The sequence below is a fragment of the Homo sapiens genome, chromosome 15, assembly GCF_000001405.40.
Source record: "Homo sapiens chromosome 15, GRCh38.p14 Primary Assembly".
Classification (NCBI taxonomy): domain Eukaryota; kingdom Metazoa; phylum Chordata; class Mammalia; order Primates; family Hominidae; genus Homo; species Homo sapiens.
In genome coordinates, this window is record NC_000015.10 from 73,276,875 (window position 1) to 73,296,463 (window position 19,589).

At 42.6% G+C, this 19,589-nt stretch overlaps 1 protein-coding gene across 29 annotated transcripts in view; it reads left to right on the forward strand.

Annotated features, from left to right (window-relative positions):
* Positions 1-19,589, forward strand: part of NEO1 (neogenin 1) — a 253,515-nt gene that overhangs the window by 225,183 nt on the left and 8,743 nt on the right. For 14 of the 29 annotated variants that reach the window (XM_047432591.1, XM_011521628.3, XM_011521629.3 and 11 more), the window contains 5 exons: positions 1,257-1,325; positions 6,090-6,237; positions 11,439-11,677; positions 12,272-12,364; positions 16,516-16,674. In XM_047432591.1, the coding sequence (XP_047288547.1) occupies positions 1,257-1,325; positions 6,090-6,237; positions 11,439-11,677; positions 12,272-12,364; positions 16,516-16,674 (708 nt within the window). The remainder of the gene's footprint in view (positions 1-1,256; positions 1,326-6,089; positions 6,238-11,438; positions 11,678-12,271; positions 12,365-16,515; positions 16,675-19,589) is intronic. The other 15 variants (XM_011521633.4, XM_017022233.2, XM_017022234.2 and 12 more) reach the window with 3 other exon arrangements.

Below are 19,589 nucleotides of genomic sequence, written 5' to 3' on the forward strand. Positions count from 1 at the left end.
TCATGCTCTCTGCCTCTTTAAAGAGAAGATTATACTCTTTCGTGAAGATTTTTTATGCTTGTAATAGGAGTGGTTAACATTTATGGAACATCTACTATGTGTCAGTCAGTATTAAAAATATTTTATGGTATTAAATTTCCATTTAATCCTCACAACAGCTTTGTGAAGTGGATACCATTATTATCCCTGTGTTACAATGAGAAAACTGAGGCCCAAAAAGAATAAATAACTTGCCCAAAGTCAAACAGTTGTATATGATGGAGGTAATATGCAAGTGCAGTCTGTCTATTAAACAATGTGCTATATTAACCTCATAGTTAACTTCATAAAACAGCTTTTACTTTGCAATTCTTTCAGACCTCTTTTTCAGGAGAAGTATGATATTGCTTTCTGGGTATAAACCTTAGATTGACACCTTTGCTTTATTGGAAAAAGGTCCTCGTATTTGCTTTTCCCAAGCAGCTTTTCCTATAAATGTGAAGAGCAAAATTCAAGGCCAAGTATAAGAATTTTTTAAAAAACTGATATTTGCACTTTCTGAGGCCTCCTTCTGGGGTGGTCCTAGGCCTGAGGTCAGCAGCCTCACTTAGTATGTTCCCTGATGATGGATTAGGAGACAGTGTCTTTTTGAGCAACTAGGAGGAAGACTGTTTTTTTCAGCCTCTGGAATGTTTAGGTGACTGAGCAGGAACTGAGAACCTGATTTGAACTTCCATTTACCTTCCTGCTCCTGCTTAGCTTAGGGTAACTTTATATTCAGAAGGACAACTTTGTAATTTGAGAAAAGAATCTAAACAATACTAACACCTGCTAGGTCAGGTATTAGTATCCACATAGCCAGGTCCCTTGGAAGAGTATAGTTCTTTAATGTAGACATTAACCTAATTAGTCCCCTTGGTTGCTTTTCTAGGAGAAGCTACTTTTGCTGTAAGTCCTCTGAGCAGTCCTTTGGGAACTGTTTCCTAAGCTAGAGAAATAGCACCTACTGTCCCAGCTTCTAAACAGCAGTGACAGTCAGCTCACAGCCGTGAGACAAGCGTGTCAGTCTTTCAGATGCCTCATTACATAGAAAGCTATACCTTAGTTTGCTTTCCACACATAGACTATAGATTCCCATGATTTATGTGCTACTTTATTTTCTCATGGACAGAATAGACTAAAAATTGTGTTTTTTGTTTAAAACACTCCCTAGCTATGAAGTGGACTGTCACGCCAAATGTGTGGGGTCATTATTGACATGATTTCTTCTCCTTTAGCCTCAGGGTCTGGAGGGAAAGGAAGCCGGCTGCCAGACCTAGGATCCGACTACAAACCTCCAATGAGCGGTAAAGCCTTTCCCATGGCGTTTTTTGCTTACTATGGACATGAAGCACTTTTGCTTAAATTTTTGAAATGTCCTTTATAGCTTGTGTGTGGTGGGTTGTAGCATATTAGCCTGTTTTCTTTTATTGCTAGATTTAAGTGTTTGCCAAATCACTCCAAGCCCATGTGTCGTAGGACCCATAAATCAAATTGTTTCCCCAGTTATCCAACTTAAGATTAATTCCTAAACAATTTGTTCATCCTGTTGCCTACTGCCTCTAGAAAAGAGTTAGAGTTTCGCTTTCAAAAATAAACCCTCTAGTGGGATTAGCCACCATCCAAACCAAGCCAAACAAATGCTTTTAGAATCATTAAGTTCTTCCAGTGCTACTACATACTGCAGTGTTTTTAGTTTAGCAATTCTAGAAAATTCTTCCACTCTCCTAGCCATCCTGAGAGCTGGTGCCTTCTAATTTAATGATGACACCCCCGTCTTTACAGAGCTTCACCATATATAAGCTACTTTCACACATGAAGTCACAATTGATTCTTACAACATGGTGAAGCAGGGAGAACAGATACCGTTATTCCCGTTTAATACATTCAGAAACTAAGTGGAGAAGTAACGTGCCTGGGGCCACGTGCTAATTGTGGCAGTCCTAGGACCAAAACCCAGGGCTTCTCATTTCTGATTGTGCTTTTCCCACTGTCACATTCAGCCTAAAAAAGCAGTGGGTGCTGTACCAGACGTGGGAACCTAGAGTGGAAAGTGTCCACAGAAGTAGTTACTAGGAATGACCCTTACTGTCTCTTCACATGTGGAAGAGAGAGACATATGAGAGAAACGCCTGTCCCCTAGTAACTCATAGTCTAATTGTAGGAATACGATGATGTCTTAATCTCCAGCTATCTATTTAAATCAAAAGTGGAACTGCCCAGACTTTAATGAAATCAGCCTTAAAAGAACCAGACAAACTTAACATCCTTCCAGAAATAATTGTGCTCCAGGTTCTAGGACTCTGTTTATGAGTTTCTTCTTCTCCATGTGTATGTGACATTTATATTGTGTCCACAGTATAATTTTTAAGGCTGTGAGGAAGGTAATTACTCCTTTGTCTTTCTTTCATTCATGTATTCACTCATGCATGCATGTTTTTTTGTTGTTTTGGTTTTGGTTTTTTTTTTTTTTTGAGATGGAATCTCGCTCTGTCACCCAGGCTGGAGTGCAGTGGCATGATCTCAGTTCACTGCAGCCTCCACCTCCCGGGTTCAAGGGAGTCTCCTGCCTCAGCCTCTCGAGTAGCTGGGATTACAAGCGCCTGCCACCACGCCCAGCTAATTTTTGTGTTTTTAGTAGAGACGGGGTTTCACCATGTTGGCCAGACTAGTCTTGATCTCCTGATCTCAGGTGATCCGCCCACCTCGGCCTCCCAAAGTGCTGGGATTACAGGCGTGAGCCACCACGCCCGGGGCCCGCGTGCACGTTTTTAAAGATGCAGGCTCTATGTGACAAGCTGTGGGAGCAAGAGGAGTTAATAACAAACTACCTGATAAAGGGAAAGCTTCCTAGAAGAGGTGCCGTCTAACCCGGATCTTCAAGGATGCTAGAAGATTGCTAAATGTCAAGAAAGGGATTGGACATTCCAGGAAGCAATATCAGCATGTGCAGAGGCATGGCAATATATTAATAAAACAGCCTGCTCTCTCCAGGAGTCACACTGCATAGAGAAAGGATAGAGATTGAGTTGAAAATGCAGGTTGGAATCAGCCTGTCAAAAACTCAAGTACCAGTGCTAAGAAATATGAGCTTTATCCTACAAATAACATGTGAAATATCTGACACCACTGGTACACTATGACATCCATCTTTTATTATCAACTGTTATTACTCTGATAGCAGTGAAGAATAAGTTGGGGGCTAAGAGTATAAAGTCAGGCAAGAGGGGTTAGGGAGCTGTTACAGGCCAGGCGTGGTGGTATGCACGTGTAATCCCAGCTACTCAGAAGGCTGAAGCAGAAGAATCACTTGAACCCGGGAGGCAGAGGTTGCAGTGAGCCGAGGTCACACCACTGCACTCCAGCCTGGGCAGCAGAGTGAGGTTCCGTCTCAAAAAAAAAAAAAGGAAGCTGTTATAGTAGTCCAGATGAGGCATAAAGAAATGGCATATATATTGTCCCTGGTAGGACTGTTCTTTGGCAGCTCACTCTTGCTGTATCTTAGAAGAAAACTTTTGTCCAGCTCATTCGCAAGAGGTCAGATGCGAGTAAATGAGAATTTGTCAGTGAAATGCAGGAAAGAACCACCTCCACCTCTGCCTGCCTCCCATACTTCAGCTCCCCAGCCTCTAATTTGCAATGCCTGCCCTGCCAAGTACCCAACCCTGTAGTTCAGCACTGCTATTAATAACAGTGTTATGGAAAGCCCTACTCTAATATGAACAGTATGGTCCATTTTAGTGGCCCCAGTACCATGGTCTTTCCCAAATATAAAAACATTATTTTATTGAAGGTCAGTATGTACAGTTTAAGTTGTCTGTCTGCTTACCTTTTTCTCATAAATGAAAGATAAAAATGATTGAACCAAATGTAGAATAGGCTCTTAATCCCTTCTAAATCAGCCCCAGATTTAGCACTGTACTTAGATGTAGTCTGTAAAATCAAAGAAGCAAAGTTGGAGGGTCAGTTAATCCGGCGTTGTGGAAGGGATTCCCACAATGAGTGTAAGTTTGGATTAGAACATAAATTTGGGCCGGGCGCAGTGGCTCATGCCTGTAATCCCAGCACTTTGGGAGGCTGAGGTAGGCAGATCACGAGGTCAGGAGATCGAGACCATCCTGGCAAACACTGTGAAACCCCGTCTCTACTAAAAATACAAAAAAAAATTAGCCGGGCATGGTGGCGGGCGCCTGTAGTCCCAGCTACTCGGGAGGCTAAGGCAGGAGAATGGCATGAACCAGAGGGGCGGAGCTTGCAGTGAGCGGAGATTGTGCCACTGTACTCCAGCCTGGACGACAGAGCGAGACTCAAAAAAAAAAAAAACACATAAATTTATAAGCCAGGTTGTTAGGAGAACCACTTCAGGAGATTTTTTCCCCCCTAGACGGAGTCTTGCTCTGTCGCCCAGGCTGGAGTGCATGGCGCGATCTCCGCTCACTGCAAGCTCCGCCTCCCAGGTTCGCGCCATTCTGCTGCCTCAGCCTCCTGAGTAGCTGGGACTACAGGCACCGCCACCATGCCCGGCTAATTTTTTTGAATTTTTTATTAGAGACGAGGTTTCACCATGTTAGCCAGGATGGTCTCGATCTCCTGACCTCGTGATCCACCCGCCTCGGCCTCCCAAAGTGCTGGGATTAACAGGCGTGAGCCACTGCGCCAAGCCAAGAGATTTTTTTTTAAAACACACATTCCAGGCCATACTTTGATGGTAGGAACTTCTTCCACAACATCCCACGCTGGCAGGATGCCTCTTAAGTACTTCCAATAACTAAAGATGCATTTCTTGGCAAGGCAGCTCATCCCATTATTGTACACCTCTGATTGTTAGAAAATTAAGAGAGAGAGTAGCTAGAAGGAAAGAGATTAGATATCCATGGTGGTTAGACATGTGTGGTGGGATTTGCCACATTTTATAATATGAGCATACATAAATAATGAGTAGGGAGGCAAAGAAACATGTTTCAAGAAATGGAAGACAGTAAGACTTAGAGCTAAATTACAAAGCCTAGAGCTCATCCTTTCAGCAATGGGGAAATAATAATAGGAAAAGGAAAAGAAAATCTGAATTTCCTTCTTCAGGGTCCTAAATGGTCCAGCCTCTGCAGCTTTTCCAGCCTTATCCCTTTTTTCCTCCTCACTTCCTTCCTTCTGACTTGCATCTCTCTGCTTAAACAACACTGGCTGCATTTCTCTTCCTTGAGAAGAGCTTGTTCCTGCCTCAGGGTCCTTTCCCTTGTATGATGGAATCTTTCTTACTCAGATCTGAACTCAAATGCCATCTTCTCAGAGAAGCTTTTTCTAACCATTCAATCTAAATTGGCTACCCAGACACTCTGTATCATAACCCCTCATTTTCTTTTTTTCACACCGTTAGTTATTAACTAATAATTTCATATTTATCGTTTATCCCATTCCCCCGCCAAACGTTCACATCTTTGTTGTTCACCATTGCACCTTAGTACCTAGAACAATGACTGACACATAGTAACCATTCAGTATTTGTCAAATTAAGCCATACTTCAGACCTACTGTTTCTTGAAGTTGAACAAGAGAATTAACTCTGCGTAGGCTGTGTATTTATAAAAACAGACTTTACTTTTCATGCAATTTTTATAATCTCAGATATCTGCCTGTTGGGGAAAACTTCTGCTTTGTATGAATGAACATTTTTAAATGGTTTTGAAAACCAGAAAACTAAATGACTTATAAGTGGTGCTTTACAAAATGAGTTTATATATCACATGAGACACCAGAGAGCCAAGACTCTTTATCTGTCTAAGTATATCTCAACCTTTGAAAGCTCTTGAATGTTCAGTACAATTTGAGAAGCTTTAATTAAGTACTATCTTTGAGCAGGCTCTGTCCTGAGCACTGTTCATAGGACAGACTCTTAGCTGTCTAGGAGCTCATCATCTAGAGAAGAGAGCCATGTTCACGCGGCACTTTTATATAAGTCAGAGCAATGAGTGTTATCAAGAAGTTCACGTGAGATATTAATGGTTCTGTAGCTTGATAGTATGCATGTTTTAAATTCTCTAACCCTAACACATGTACCATTTCTCTCTCTGCAGGCAGTAACAGCCCTCATGGGAGCCCCACCTCTCCTCTGGACAGTAATATGCTGCTGGTCATAATTGTTTCTGTTGGCGTCATCACCATCGTGGTGGTTGTGATTATCGCTGTCTTTTGTACCCGTCGTACCACCTCTCACCAGAAAAAGTAAGAAGCCCCAGATGCACCCCTTAGATTTTTGGCATCTTATCTTTTGCTTCCATGTGACTTCTGTATATGGAGTGGTACACAAAGTTAAGACATAAAAATACATGAAAAGGAATTTAAGATATTTTAAAAGAAAATGGGAAGTGGTTCCTCTTATCAGTCAGTGTCCTGGCAGAAAAGAGCTGGCACATTTAAAAGGATTTCAAAAGAGGTAATTTACAAAGTCATAGGTGGGGTTAGGGCAAACTAGGCAGGGATATTCAGAGGCTAGCAGCTATGATAAGACACCATCATCCTTGGGCCTGAAAGGGCAAGAGGAGAGAGCTGTTTTCAGAAATCTGAAGCAGTAGGAGAGGGCTTCCTGACAAAAGCAAAGTGGGTGCTAGAGGCATGCAGCCATTGCCAGCCTCCTCCCAGCGGGCAGTGGCAGGAAAAGAAACACCTCCTACCCTCCAGCCTCTTGCCAGTGTCTAGTATTAGCTATACCCAGCTGGAAGCCAGGAAACCCAGCAGGATTGCCAAGTAATAGTTAATTTAGCTCAACCTCTGGGGTCAGAGGGCCAACTAGAGAATAGATGTGGTGAGAAAAGTAGAAAGTGTCTGGCATTGCTGGTCACCCCCTTTGGAGCACCATCTGTACATGCCCACAGTGAACCCGATGCCCAGGAGTCTGTGGACATTCTTACAGGCTGTGTCACAGCACAAATGCCAGCCCAGTTGGAAGAAGACCATAGGCCTGTCATTCTAAATCTAAGTTTAAGAATATTTTTAAAGAATTGCTACCAAGTGTAGAGTTGGGGGTGGGGGTAGGATTGCTTTAATGAACAGGAAAGGATCATTGATAATCAATTTATCAGTTTCTCAGAGCGGCTGAATGGCTGCTAGCCTTGAACTCCTCTGGGATTTTGAGGGTTGTGGCTAATGGTCTAAGTGCAGATAGCAAGGGGGCTCAGTTATGTAGTGCTTGCTAATACCATACAGTCCTACACTTGAAAGAATCCTTGATCCTAAATTACATTCAACTCAGATATCTGGTTAGCAAAATAGATAGAAAAAAAAAAGGAGATTCCTGAGTTATTCCTAATAGCAGTACCATAATGTGCATAATAAAATGACTTTAGTTGCAATATCTTGAAAGATCATAAGATGGGGGTGTTGCTCCGCTAGAGAAAGAGAAATTCATGTTTATGTGATTATCCATGCAGACTTGATCTGCCCAAGGCAAGAATGCATGTATTTAATAATCATAAATTTGTTCATTTTCACTGTACAGGGTAAGTACAGGCCACCCTGTAACTGCTACTGGTAATGACTTTATGTCATTTTTTGTAAGTTATGTGATATTTTAAATCTCTCTTTCTTTTGCCCAAATGAAATAGCTTTCCATAGCTTGTACTGTATCACTTTTCCAAGAAAAATGGAGGCTTCTTTTATAATCCTTCTGACCACTGCCTCTTATAGCTCTTCCTTTTTTTTTTTTTTTTTTTCTTTTGAGACGGTGTCTCTCTCTGTTGCCCAGGCTGGAATGCAGTGGCACATTCTTGGCTCACTGCAACCTCTGCCTCCTGGATTCAAGCGATTCTCCTGCCTCAGGCTCCCAAGTAGCTGGGATTACAGGCACCCACCACCATGCCTGGCTAATTTTTGTATTTTTTAAGTAGAGATGGGGTTTCACCATGTTGGCCAGGCTGGTCTCGAATTCCCGACCTCAAATGATCCGCCCGCCTCGGCTTCCCAAAGTGCTGGGATTAGAGGCATGAGCCACTGCGCCCGGCCCTGTCTACTTTTAATAGTGGAAAACTATTATTTTTAAAGCCTCAAAGACTACATTTTTTTTTCTACTCTAGAACTTTTCTTCAAGCCTCTTTATTTGGCATTTAATATTTATCTATCTATGAACTTGATTTTATATCAGTTTTAGAAATATTGGGATCTTTATTTTTCTGTTATTGAAATAATTTGAAAACCAAAATGACAGAATTCCTTAGTGCTTTGGAAGACTTCAAATTCAAAGTAAATTTTTTTTTAGACAGGATTTTGGTCTGTCACCCAGGCTGAAGTGCAGTGGAACAATCTCATCTCACTGCAACCTCCACCTCCCGGGTTCAAGTGATTCTCCTGCCTCAGCCTCCCAAGTAGCTGGGATTACAGGCATGTGCCACCATGCCCGGCTAATTTTTGTATTTTTAGTAGAGACAGGGTTTCACCATGTTGGCCAGGCTGGTGTCAAACTCCTGACCTCAAGTGATCTGCCCACCTCAGCCTGCCAAATAAGGTACTCAGTCTTCAGATTGAAAGTAAGAAGATGAGTTGATAATAGGCTCTATTCTCTGTATTGGCACGTCCTACAGATTTGGGTCCCTTTGTTGAAAATCATCATATCAGATCTTCATGGGGTTTTCCCCTCCCCCACTTCCCCAGTTATCTGCTTTGCAAGTATTCCATTGACTGTTGAAAAATATAAGCGAGCTTTTCTTACTACTTTTCTTCCTACTTTTCTTCCTCTGTAATACCTGAGGTTCATTTAGATGGTAGCTGTTTACAGAGTCTTACAACCTCAAAGTTGATAGAGCATTTAGAGAATCTAAACCCTCGTTGGTTCTCAGCACATTCCCCCTTAGCCCCTGACTGGCAACAGGTAAGCTGGGCTTCTCCTTCATGAAGAAGGCAGAAGCTGTCAGATAAGAACAACCTCAGCACACCACCATCAAATCTGACACCTTTCTACACTGGTAATCATCGTTTCCTCCTCCCTCCTAAGTGTACTTCCCCTGTTTGAAGCCCGTTCTACCCTTTACCCCCTGAATCTCATTGTCTTCCATTTTTCTAAGACCTTTTACCTGCTGTTATTCCTCTCTCCAGCATAGCTGACCTCTTACTCGTTATTGGCCGCCTCTTCAGTATTTAAGTGTGCTCTAACTTCTTCCAGCTTAAGGAATAATTATAATTATAACCTCACCCCCACCCCCACCCCCTGTATGGTCCTTTTCACCGGCTGCTTACTAACCTTTCTTCTCCACCACAGAATTCCTTGATAACTTGCTTATACTCTTATGTCTGTTCACTGCCTACCCATGCATCAGCCCTTTCTAATCTTTATTCTGCCCCTACCACTTCACCAGAATTGCTTTTGTGGAGGTCACCAGCGACCTGTGTATTGCTAAAGCCAAAGAACATTTTTCAGTTCTCATCTTAGTCTCTCAGCAACATTTCACACAGTCAACCATTCCTTCCTTCTGGAAACATTTTCTTCTTTTGTATCCATGACAGCATGTTTTGTTTTGTTTTTTGTTTTTTTTCATAGGTCCTCCTGTCTACCTAGCCATCAAATACAGACATTCCTCAGGGCCTGGGCCTGGACTTACTCTCTTCTCCTTCTGTGTTCTCCCCAAGTGATCTCATCTGCTCCCGTGGCTTCAGCATTCCAGCTACTTTTGTATTTCTGTCTCCAGCCAAGGCCTCCCTCCTCTGAGTATCAGACTTGCACACACAGTTGCCTCTTCTACATTTCCTCTTGAATGTCTCAGAGACATTTCAAATTCAGCATGTCCAGAGCAGAATTCATCATCTTTTCAGGCAAACCCGCTTCTGCTCCTTTATTCCCAATATTAAGTGGCTTAAATCAGAAACCTTAGCATCATCCTGTACTCCTCTTTCTTCTTTACTCCCACCTCACCCTACATCCATTTATTTACCAAGACCTGTCATGTCTGCCTCCTGAATAACTTTCAAATCTGCCTCTTGCCTCTACTCCCACTGTCCCATGCCATCAGTTATGGCTGAGATTGCAGTAGCATCCTAGCTGGTCTCCTCTTCTATCCCCAACCCCACAGAGCTATTCTTCACATCACAGCTGGTATAAAGTTTTAACTCAAAAGTGTTCTCCTTACTCTCTTGCTTAAAACCATTTAATGGTTTCTCATTACTCACAAAGGGAAGTTCACACTCTTAGCATTGCCCTAAAAGCTCTTTATGATCTGGTCCCTGACTACCTTTCTAGTATTATTTCACATCATTCTCTGCAGGGTTCACTATGTCCCCACCACTCAGGATTTCTTAAAATCCTTCTAATATACCACCAGGGCATTGCACTCTGCTTTAGGGTTTTGACATAAGCTGATTTCACCACCTGGAATGCACTTTCTGTTCCCTTTAGGTCTTAGCTTAAATGTCACTTCCTCCTCTAGGTTTTTCCTGTTCAGCTTAAGTCCAACTGTTAAGAAGTTACTCTAACACTTGACATTTCAGTAAGCTCAGAACATTTTAAAATAATAGTTCAACGTCTGTATTCCTCACTTTATCAAAAATTCTGAGGGCACAGCAGTCTAGCACAGGGTCTGGCATATACTGGGTACCCAGTATGTCCTCATTAGGGGTAAGTAAGAGAGTGAATGGAGAAGCTAAAACACAGAGAAGTAGACATTGTTGTCCCCATTCTTGACTCCACCTAGTTGGTAGTCCTAGTTTGGCAGTCTTCGAAGTTGTTCCGGCCAGGTACAGTGGCTCACGCCTGTAATCCCAGCACTTTGGGAGGCCAAGGCGGCAGATCACCTGAGTTCAGGAATTCGAGAACAGCCTGGCCAACATGGTGAAACCCTGTCTCTACTAAAAACACAAAAATTAGCTGGGTGTGGTGGTGGACGCCTGTAATCCCAGCTACTCAGGAAGCTGAGGCAGGAGAATCTCTTGAACCCAGGAGGCCAGGTTGCAATGAGCCGATATCTCGCCATTACACTGTAGCTTGGGCGACGAGCAAAACTCCATCTCAAAAAAAAAAAACAAAAAAAGTTTTTGCCTCCCTCCTTTATAAGCCACAGACTTTCCCTCTACTCCATTGTTATGTTTCTACATTGCTCTAATTAGAAACTTGTGGATGAACCTTCTGGTTATGAGATTATATAATGAAAAATGCTATCTTAATCTTTTAACAGTCAAAAAAAGTAGTCACAAGGCAGGATTCAAACATAAAGACCCTGGTAAGTATCTCTAAATATGTGTGGACAAAATAGAGATACATTTACTCTCCCCAGGAGCAAACTTGTTGTTGTTGTTGTTGTTGTTGGGGGCAGGAGGTATGTTTTTAGTTTTTGCTTTTTTTGCTTGAAACATCTCTCAGAAAGGAAGTTTTAATCACTCAAGCCTTTTGACAAATACGTTCAAATGAGTTACTTTTTAAAAGCTCCTCTGAACTTCGTGCCTAGGAAACGAGCTGCCTGCAAATCAGTGAATGGCTCTCATAAGTACAAAGGGAATTCCAAAGATGTGAAACCTCCAGATCTCTGGATCCATCATGAGAGACTGGAGCTGAAACCCATTGATAAGTCTCCAGACCCAAACCCCATCATGACTGATACTCCAATTCCTCGCAACTCTCAAGATATCACACCAGTTGACAACTCCATGGACAGCAATATCCATCAAAGGCGAAATTCATACAGAGGTACCATTTTAAGTGCAGGTTTTTTCTCAAATGTTAGGAAACTATTTTCATTTAAATCTTTTTTTTTTTCCCTGAGTTTGCCTTCATTTGGCAATTCCTATATGAGATCAGATTTAGAGAAATGTGTATGATAAGATTTGGGAACATATGATGAAGAATACCTAGCTTCTTATGGGAGAGAGATTCTGTAGCCATACGAGACAATCTTGCAGATCTTTTAGGTCTCTCATCAGGCTTCAGCAGCGTGATATTCAAGGATTTGAGGCTAGCTAGCCCATGTCTGTGCATTTCATTCTGTGTCTTCAGCTGGCTTCCAGCTTGCATTGTGGTATTCAGAACATTCTTGGTCTGGAGGCTCTTATAGACACCCTGTGAAGTATGGTGGGCAGCATTGTGACATCCACATTGATTCAGCAGGAACTCTTGTAATGCTCTAATGATCATTTTCCTCTTTATTTCACTTCTTACAGAAATGTCTTGTCCCCATTATGCTGTTTGTGAATTCTGAATCCCCTACTAGAAATGTTTCACTGTTGAGGCTGCTCAGTGGCATAGGGCACATGCTGGTAACTAACCTCCACGTTTAACATCTAGGGCATGAGTCAGAGGACAGCATGTCTACACTGGCTGGAAGGCGAGGAATGAGACCAAAAATGATGATGCCCTTTGACTCCCAGCCACCCCAGCGTAAGTAGAAGCATCTCTTTTCCTCAGTGCTACCAATCTGTTCAGTCATGTAGGGGAACAACTATGAATGATCTTTTTGACTTCACTTGATTCTAACACAAAGATAATCTACCAAAGCTTTGACACCTTGAAGGAGGAAGTACCAAACACTTGCCATATTTTGCAACAAACATTATTCTTGAGGCTAGCGTCGTTATGTTTATGGTAAATAAGCTGAAAAGCCAATGTCTCCAGATTCCCAGGAATAGGGGAGTAACTAGTCTCCCTAAAAGTGCATCATATCTCTATGGGAGAGATGGGAAAGCTTCCCTCCTCCAGACTAGAGCTAAGGATGGTCTGATGTTACAAGTTTTCATTACGCTGCCTGACACCAGTGCTGATGAGCACCTGTGAAATTTATTTTTTTAATTAATAGATTTGAAGGCCAAGCAAGATGGCCCACACCTATAATCCTAGAGTTTTGGGAGACCAAAGTGGGAGGATTGCTGGAGGCCAGGAGTTCTAGACCAGCCTGGGCAATGTAGTGGGACCCCATCTCTACCAAAAAAAATAAAATTAAAAATTAGCCAGGTATGGTGGTACATGTCTATAATCCCAGCTACTCAGGTGGCTGAGGCATGAGAATCACTTGAACCTGGGAAGCAGAGGTTGCAGTGAGCCAAAATCGTGCTGTTGCACTCCAGCCTGGGTGACAGAGTGAGACTCTGTCTCAAAAAAAATAAAAAAAATAAAGCCAGGCATCGTGGCACACAACCTGTAGTCCCAGCTACCCAAGAGGCTGAGGCTACCCAGGAGGCTGAGATGGAAGGATTACTTGAACCCAGCGTTTAAGGTTGCATTGAGCTATGATTTTGCACCATTGCACTCCAGCTTGGGCAACAGAGCCAAGAGCCAGTCTCTAAATTAATTAATTAAAATAATAAAATTTAAAAATAAAATTAGTAGACTTTATATTTTAGAATAGCTTTAGGTTTTACTGTGTGGAATTTTTTTTTTTTTTTTTTTTTTTTTTTTGAGACAGAGTCAGAGTCTTGCTGTGTCGCCAAGGCTGGAGTGCAGTGTCACGATCTCAGCTCACTGCAGCCTCCACCTCCCGGGTTCAAGCAATTCTCCTGCCTCGGCCTCCCAAGCAGCTGGGATTACAGGTGCTCGCCACCACACCTGGCTAGTTTTTTGTAGACACGGGGTTTCACCATATTGGCCAGGCTGGTCTCAAACTCCTGACCTCAGATGATCCACCCAACTCGGCCTCCCAAAGTGCTGGGATTACAGGCCTGAGCCACCACCACCCGCCCAGCCGGAATTTTTTAAACAACATTTTTCATTCTTGATTCGTGCCTCACTTTGATAAGCATAAAGGTTTCTGAGCCTCTTTTAATAATAGTTGAAATTCAAAATAAATATCATGATTAAACCAGAAAGCAGTGGGACAAACCGATTCTTTCAAACTACTATGTCCTCTCTCGTCACTGTTTTCAAGGAAGTGAAGCCTTTCAGACTAGCTAGCACAGTGGGGCTTGCAGTTGAGGGAATTCTCAGCCATCTGTCAACAAACGATGCGATTTAATAGCCATGAATATCATACATGCAACGAGGTACACCATGACATCGTGCACTTGGAAAAGTTCCTCAAATCCCCAACCTCTTGGTGGAAGCTTCAAGCACGTGGATGTCTGCACACGCATTCCCTCTCCCACAAACACTGTACACAAACATGTAAGATACTGGATTACAAAAACCATCTTTGAAAGAGTAATACCCTATTTGTTAACAGGTAATTTCAGCTCAAAGTAGCTTATGCTTGTGGTCCTTGATGGAAAGAAAAGCCTGGACTTGGAAATGCAGGGGAAAACCATGGTTTCCCTCTTACAAGAGGTGCCCTGGATGGGGTTCCCAGGTTTAAAGATACAAATGCCCAAGAAGAGTAAATTAATCCATCCCAGTTGCTTCTGATTGATCAAGAAGATGCTAGCACTATACTCTTATTTGTTTGTTTTGTATAAGACTTGAGTTCCTACCTGAACTGGCTTATTTTGAAAACTTGTAAAATTTTACTATCTTTATTTCTAGATGTATTACTTTTAAATATGTTAAGTAAAAAAGATATGTTGTCCAGTTGATATCATTCTTCTTTTTTTGATGTTGGGGAAGGAGTTTGCACCAATATACAATATTATTTAATTTGTGCCTTAACAGTTGGGTGGGTAAGTGGAATCTTTTAAAAACCTGCAACCATAAGATCCACTTGTGGTCTTTAGGTTTTCAGATACTGTTTTTAAAACCCGCATGGCTACAGTTCTGTTTCACAAGCTGGTATTCCCTGAGCTCTGGGCCCTGGAATGCTGCAGGAGCCATATACCCACTCCCCACCTTCCCTGGTCTTAAATGACTGAGCAGTGCCAGGAAGGGTTTGCTGGTGCTGGGACATGGCTCCATCCAGGGCCATGCACTGAAGCAACAAGTTCAGAGTCAGCTAACAGCTGCTGATTTCCTACTATATCCTAGGCAGGCACATTCACACTGCTTTATTTTTTTTTATTTACTTACCTAGAAAGACTGGAAATGCCTTATAAAAGGGAAAAAGTCAATTTTGTTTTTCCCTTGTGAGAGTCCTAAAATGCTTTCAAATTGTACTTTCCTAGGTAAAAATCAGGTTTATTCCCCCTACCCCAGCCTGAATTCTGGAAAACACTGAGTCTGAAGCACCTACTTCTAAAAACTACCTGTCTTCCCCTAGAGTTGCTGACTCCCCAGTTACCTCAAGAGCCCTCCTCAGACAGCTTTCCTCTGTTGTTTTATTCCCGGGCACAACCTGGAGCCTCTGGTCCCCAAGAGCAGCACCTGAGGGAAAGCCCCTTTTTTGTTCCTCAGGCCTTGAGAAGGGAAGGAAGGGTCAGCAGTGCTCAAGGGTCCCAGTCATGCCACCTGCTTGCTTGCATGTGGCCAGGACAAGGGATAGCTGGAAAGTAAAGGCACCCATTTTGTTGACCAGGATTTCTTTTCACCAGAGTAATGTTGAATAGCCCCACAAAGACTTTAGGGAGATCCTTGGGGACAGAAGACATTTCAATAGGCCACTAAGTGTTAATTAAGTAGTATTATTAAGTTCATGAAGCCTTTGTTTGGAGAAAAAAAGATTCCCAGTATTGTTAGTCAGCTTTGGCCTATTTGCCTGTTTGGTGGGGGTAGAGCTGGTTATCTTGATCTTAAACGTGCCATTTCTACAACCACTCCAAGGGAGTTCCTCAGAAAAGTTTATTCTCAGACTCTGGGCTTCTAATTTTATCTGTTTCCATCTCAGATGGATAATGAAGCCTCATAGAAAGTAGTACATGGAATCTCTGTCTTCATAGAAAGTAGTATGTGAAATCTGTGTGGAAATTTCAGATTCTTTAGCTAAACGCAGTTAATTGAATCCTTAGCCAGTGTGGGAAGGAAAGAGCCATTTATTCTCTTACATGCAGATGGGTATGTCTGAGTCCCCAGACTGGAAGCAGTAAAAGATGGTGCCATCAGCCAGTGGTTCATGCTTTTAGTACTAGATGGGACCATCAGAGTTCAATTCCATTTGCATTTATTTTAAGACATGAAAGCCGATTAAACAGCTACTTATTTATTTGGCCTAAATACCCATTAAATGCTTCATTCAGCAGTTTTAACAAAGGCAGAATGAATTAGGAATGTACTCGAAAAAGAAGGGACTTCTTTCTATCCTTTTAGCAGGACAAAATAGAAAATTTATGTGTTGGCTTATGGATTTATATTTTGTGACATATTCAAATAGATACTTGTAATAACTCATGTAATCCATGTTTATTATAGTAGAATTGGAAAATACAGATAAGCCAAAAGAAAAATATTATTTTAATCCTGACCACTCTTCCCTGCAAGATAATAACTGTTAACATTTTAGTGTATATTCCTTTTTTTCTATATATATGTAGACATATGCAAAAGAGTATCTTCATTTTTAAAAAACAACGTAAAAATCAATGGCTAATTGACCAGATCTAGCCAGCTGCCACCAAAAAACCAAGGGAGTGTTTGGATTGTATGGGAGGTGGGAAGGGGGTGACTTTGCTCTTAAACTGTGATTTGTGTGTGTTTGTGCAAGCATGTTAAGCATTTCTCTGTCTTGTGTTCATTCACAGCTGTGATTAGTGCCCATCCCATCCATTCCCTCGATAACCCTCACCATCATTTCCACTCCAGCAGCCTCGCTTCTCCAGCTCGCAGTCATCTCTACCACCCGGGCAGCCCATGGCCCATTGGCACATCCATGTCCCTTTCAGACAGGGCCAATTCCACAGGTGAGAGATGAGGATCAAGCCCAGATGGAAACCATTCCAAAAGAGTCGGCAAGCAGAAATGGGGAAGGACTTGCCCTACTTAGAAGAGGGATTTGGAATTTTTCTGTTTTATTTAACTTAGCATAACATTTCTGTGACTGACTCAAATTTGTTTCTGTAAAATTCACCCCATATTTCTACTTAAGTTTTAAACATTCAGTGCAAGGTTTTCTTTTAGTAAAAACAGTATCTCTAATCACATAAGCATCCCTTGTTCCATAAACTTGCACTTTAACTCAGTCTTTTTTCCAATTTCTTTCTTTTAATCCTCTAGTTTGAAAGGAAAACTCATCCTGGGTGATTTCAGACACTAGTGGTTGCCTTTGCCTGGCAGTCACTGTAACATTGGGTAGGTCCAAAGGTTAACTGTTACATACAGGTTACTTCCACCGTGGACCAAAGTGCAAACAACATCCAAGGAGCAGTGGGGCCACCAGCCACGAGGAGTTGTGTGTATTGTAAACCACAGGGTGCCTGATGTAAACCTCAGGATTATTAAAATTAGGAAGCGATGCACAGGAATAGATCCTCTCTGAAGAAACAGAAAATTACCTCTGAAGTGTATTTAAAGAAATACGTTGCTAGACAAACATGTCCCCAGTTTGGAAATCTTAGGAAACCGCATTATCAAACAGTTTTAAGGAGGAAAGAAATAGTGAAGGTGTGAGGACAGTAAGCGGCATAAATATTCTTCATTAATTGAAAATTAATTTTCATCCTCAGTTTTAAACGGCAAGCCTAGTAACTTCCCATATATTCAACATATTATTTTTCCACCATTTGAAACTTGCCTATTAATAGTTATTATGTTACTGATAGAACTGAGTTTTGCTGGTCTGGGGAATAAGGGAATTTCAAGTGAGTTCCATTTTAAAAGAACCTCAAAACTTTATGCTGGAAATTTGGGTTTCCAGTAATATCCCCATTCTTTTAAGTTTTTTGTTTTTCTTTGGTTTCTTTGTTTGTTTTTGAGACAGAGCCTCAGTCTGTTGCCCAGGCTGGAGTGCAGTGGTGCGATCTCGGCTCACTGTAACCTCCACCTCCTGGGTTCAAGCGATTCTCCTGCCTCAGCCTCCCAAGTAGCTGGGATTACAGGCACACACCACCACACCCAGCTGATTTTTGTATTCTTAGTAGAGACAGGGTTTCCCCATGTTGGCCAGGCTGGTCTCAAACTCCTGACCTCAAGTGATCCGCCTGCATTGGCCTCCCAAAGTGCTGAAATTACAGGCGTGAGCTACCGCGCCCGGTCCCCATTCTTTCAAGTTTTCATCAATCATAAACATACCCAAAACATCAAATGAAGCTTTATTAAGGGGTGCCTAATAATTTCCAACATTAGCTACTCCCAAAGCTATTACCTGATTTGGAGAATGCTGCTTGAACTCACATCTAAATTTGGCCTTCCAGGCTGAGCAGTGTGGCTCATGCCTGTAATTCTAGCACTTTGGGTGGCTGAGGCAGGAGGATCGCTTGAGCCCATGAGTTTGTGACCAGCCTGGGCAACAAGGCAAGATCCCGTCTCTACTAAATATTAAATATATATATATATATATGTAAAAATTTGGCCTTTCTACTATCTCCCTCCAAATCCCAATTTGGAGTTCTGCATTTAGGAAAGACGGTTTCCAAGATGGACAGTTACTCCAGCCAGCTGCATGGAGAGCCAAAGTCTGCCTTACAGACATAGTCTCAAATAGAACAGAGGACCAGAAAGCAGCCTCCACACCTGCTCTTAGAAAGGAGGTTTTGTGCCCAACCCTGTTTCTCCATCTTTAAGGCCAAGGAATCTCACATGCTAGGATGTGGTCCTGCCTGAGTGGATGGCAGGCACCTTCCAATCAAATCAGCCCCTTCCTCCTTCCTCCTGGGTTTGGGGATTGGAGAGAAGCATGGCAGCTCCTACCCAGCCCTCTCCCTTGTGATCTAGTATTGGTAAGCATTCCCTGCTCTACGGACCTAGGCAGAAAGTGAAGAGAGGGGGAAAGAATAATTTGCATTACTGAGAGAGGCCATGCTTTGATGACTAGTTGGATAATAGAAGGTAAAACTAAAGTGATAGACTTACTGAAGACTGATTTGAAATATAGAGCAAGTATCCAGAAATGATCAAAGTTCTTTTTCACGATTGTACTTTGCTAAGCTCCTGTGTCTCTGGAGCTCAGAGTGTTGCCACAGCTTGGTATATATGGGCTAAGCAGGGCCAGTCTCTGCTCTAAGGAGCATTCACTATGTCACCACCACTTGACATTGGAAAAGCACTTTCCTCTTGTCCAATCACTTGGCCAGTGTGAACTCTGTGTGTCTTAACTCTTTAAGAGGCAAGTCAGTCAGGAAGTAGCCCCCTTGCCAAAGCAGGAATTTTACTTACAGCATGGATTCTAAGCAGGCCAGTGATTTTGCACACTGTCAGGGAGCACCCTTCATGATAAAAGCAACGTGCCTGGGGCCCCCGGAGTTGTGCAAGGCAGCCCTGGTCTGTGGTAGCAGGCCTGGGTGCTGACTCATGTAGGCAACCCCATTTTCCTTTTTCACCTTTTGCGCCATCTCTTTGGCCCTCAGAAGCTTATATATCCAGTTACAGACCGTTGAGGCAGTCAGGAGAGGCCGGTTTGCCCAGAGCTGACCTAACATATCTGTCAGTACAGGCTGACATGGCCTGGACATGAGTCTACTGTTCTCTCTCCTCCTCCCTGCTACCCTTCCTAGCCAGCTCCTACCCTGCCCAGCTTCTCCCTGGCCCAGGATCACAGAGGGGGACCACCAGCTCCCCCGCCGTGGGGATGGCTAGCTTGAGCAAGCCTAAGAAGATCCTCAGCACACCCCTTTAAGGGGTGAGGAGTGACCTAAGCCTGGTAGGGCCAACATAGTTAGGC